Source organism: Homo sapiens, chromosome 4, assembly GCF_000001405.40.
Source record: "Homo sapiens chromosome 4, GRCh38.p14 Primary Assembly".
In the NCBI taxonomy this organism is placed as follows: domain Eukaryota; kingdom Metazoa; phylum Chordata; class Mammalia; order Primates; family Hominidae; genus Homo; species Homo sapiens.
The window spans coordinates 136,157,797-136,161,681 of record NC_000004.12 but is presented as its reverse complement, the minus strand read 5'-3'; positions in this window follow the sequence as shown (position 1 = coordinate 136,161,681).

The following is a 3,885-nucleotide window of genomic DNA, read 5'->3' as shown; positions in this document are numbered from 1 at the left end:
AAAATGCTGATCAATTCCGATTTATCTTTTTTGATTTGCCCAGTTTGACTCTTTTAATATTCTTAGATTCATATTACCATTTGTTCCTCTTTTTATGTTTTCTATTTTAATATTAGTATTTTTTTGAAGCTCATTCTGTGATCAATATTGTTTTCTTCTACATGTCATTTTGTTTTGTATCATAACCACATTTCTAGAGGAGATACATTTATAGAAAAATGCAGTTTAAAATGTATATATGCCCTTTCTTTTTCCTTCTAAAAATACGTTGAAAAGTACCAAAATGAAAATGCAGAATATGTGACTAAATACAAACATAACATTTATTCTCTATAAAAGAGCTACAGAATTTTCAATATTTTATTGCTATAAACCTCAGTGTTTACAGTATACATTTGAAGAGAATCTTATGCTTAAAGCTCCCATGTGTGAAAAAGTAGAAAATCCTGTTATTTGTGACAACATTGACAAACTTGGTGGACACTGTTAAGTAAAATAAACCAAGCACAAAAAGACAAAAACTGCATGATCAAACCTTTATGTGGAATCTCAGAAAGTCAAACTTGAAGCAGAGAGCAGAAGGATGATTCCCAGGGGCTGGTGGCACTATCGTTAGGTGCGGAGATTGTGGAAATGTTGGCCAAAGGATATAACATTTCAGTTAGACAAGAAAGAAAACAATCAGATCTATTGTGGAGCATGGTGAAATCGTTAATAACAATGTACTATGTACCAGAAAATTGCTAAGAGTAGATTTTAAGTGTTCATACCACAGATAAATATGTGAGGTGATGCATGTGTTAATTAGCTTGTTGTAGCCATTTCACAATGTGTACATGTTTCAAAACATTATGTCGTATATCATAAGTATATGCAATTTTTATTCATCATTTTATAAAACCCTCTACATTACATTTGGAAAGCAATTAACCTCCAGAATAAATATATCGTTAAACTAGTTTAAAAAATACCTGAAATCATAGTTCAAAAAGAAGATATTAATTTTCTTTTTATTTTAGAATTTCAAAAATAAATTATTTCCATCAACACAAATAGGTCTGAATGTTAATTCCATAAAAATATTTTAATCGAGATATAATTTAACATCAGTTAGGTATAACTGGGCATCTTAAATTTATTTTAGGTAAACGGACACATAAATTCACCCATTCTGTTTGTGTAGTAGACTTGCTACCGGTGACAGAGATTCAAGGTACTGGCAGCGTATCCCTACCAGGTCCATAGCAACTTTCGTCCTTGCTTCCTCAGACGAAAGAATTCAACAGAGGGGCATAAAGCAGAAAAAGAGACCGAGGCAAGTTTCAGAGCAGGAGTGGAAATAGAACAGGAAAAAAAAGGAAAAAACGATTGTAAGAGATCCAAGTGTGTGCCTGAAGGCCAAAGAGAGAAAAAAGGGCCTTTAATTTTGATCCCAGGACTTTATAGGTTCTCCTCTTTCCCATGATTCTTCCCTTATGGTGGGCTTTCTGTATGCAGGTGCTCTCCTTATCCTTGGAAAATGAGCAGGACAGTGTATTTAGGGAGTTATACGCATGCCCATCTGAGGCTTTTTTCCCTTTTACGGTAGCGTGTGCCCCTGGAATGTCATGCTTGGCCATTTTGTCTGTTAACACGCATGCCCAAGAAGCTGCCTCTCCCTGGGGTCTGCATTCAGTTAACACTTTTAATGCTAACAGGTGTGGACTATCAGGAGATTGTCTCTCCATGGCTGCCAAATTATCACTTTTACGATAATTGCTGAACCATAACCCGACATTTCTAGTGGGTTGGAGGAGAGCTCCCTCCTGTCCCGCTCATGCCTATCTATTTACCTACTACAGATCATTATTGCTAAAATAAAGATGCAAAAGGTGCACTGAATATTCTAAGGTCTAAAAGCTTAAATGTTTACTGCTACTTGTTTATTTTTCAAAAGTGTAAAATATGAATTCCATGGATATAATCAGTGTAAATGTAATGAAAATTTAAACTTACTCCCATGGCCTTTTATAAAGATTATTTCTGTGCTTATGCTAATTCAGAGTATATATTGCAATACCAATTTCTCCATCATTAACAATTAATAGCAACATAAAACCACAGTATTTTTCTGTGATATAGATGAAAAACTTTTTAAATATGTACTTGATTTACTTTCTAAGTTTTAATAACTTTAAAGGCACGTATAAATAAACATGCTTTTGATCTTGGTGTATCAAGTGAGAGGAGAGAATACATAATTCTTCTCCTGAAAATGTTTAAGAATATCTCATAGTTACTAAGCTTGGCAGAATATTTACAGGAACTACTCAATAACATTGTGTAGCCAAGATTTTAACAAGGATAATCTTATAAATACTATATATATGCCAAAATATCACCTACAGAGATTCATGATTATGGAACAAAAAGATAAATTGAATTCACATTATTCCAGATTTCCTTTAAGCTCTCAAACTAGCTTGTCATGATATTCTTTTGTCACCAACATTTACAACTCCAGGGTCACTTTTCTTTCTCAAACCACAGTTCTTAAGATAAGCTAAGCATTCTGACATGGCTGTGTTCTTCTTCAGATAATCATTAAAGCTTTTGATTTGTTTAAGATCCTTCAGTTGAATTATATAATTTGGGGGACAAATTGACATGATGGCCTCCTCATTAGCTGTTGCTAAATGATATGATCAGTAAGCTTCATCTCAGTCTTTATGTCACATTCATTATACTATTTATCTCATGATTGGCTCTAATTTATTTATGCTCACAAATTGGCATTGCTATCATGTTGGAATGGGCAAGAGCTTACAATAAGAACCACTAATATTAAGTATACTGCAGAGACAATATTCTTTAGAACTTTGGGTATAAAGATTAATTTAATAATCATTTACATTTCATTAAAGGGAACAGAGAATTGCAATTAATTTGTCCACTTTCCAAATAATAGCCTCAATCTATTTTATTTATTTTATATTTTAATTACTTGATGTTACCTGTATTATATTTCCCTTCAAATTATCTAAATTTCATTTTAGTGTCTTCTAAATTCATAAAATCTGGAAGAAATAATTTGATTAATTAGATGTTTATAATTAACATTAAAAATAAATTTTAAATTAGCATAGGCCTTTATATTTTAGAGATTTTTTACATTTTAAATCAGATATTTATCCTTTTTGGTTTCAGTAAGTTTCCCAAGAAACAAAATACTGTTTCAGCAGACACAGTTTTAATCTTCGTTTTAGCAGCCTCATGAAGGTCACAGTATATCTCTGATAGGTCTTAACAAATACACAAATTTGTTTTCATCCCTAATCAAATAAAATAGCAAAATGTCATAAAAGAATGAGAAGTTAATATCACTATTAAATTTTCCATTTTCAAGCAGTCTAAACCACAAATACATACTCATTTTTATTTGTTTTGATACTGATTTTGCTCCCTCCAGTACGACTCTGCTCCAATTATGCACAAAGTTTTAAATATAAATGGAAACATAATAAAGAAGTAGTTCATTTAATTCTATGGACTCTAAAGTCTTAATATATATGCTGAAATCTAAAATGCCTTGAGTTACATAAATACTTTTTTATAAATCAAGGTAACATTGACATTAAATTTATTTCTTTTTTTTGTTTTGTTTTTTTGAGACCGCGTCTCACTCTGTCGCCCAGGCTGGAGTGAAGGGGCACGATCCCCACTCACTGCAAGCTCTGACCCCCGGGTTCACGGCATTCTCCTGCCTCAGCCTCCCGAGTAGCTGGGACTACAGGCGCCCGCCACCACGCCCAGCTAATTGACATTAAATCTATTTCTAAAATTAATTATTTAAAATTAAAAAAATCTAAACATAATGCAGTGAAGACAAAATGAATAATAAAACCA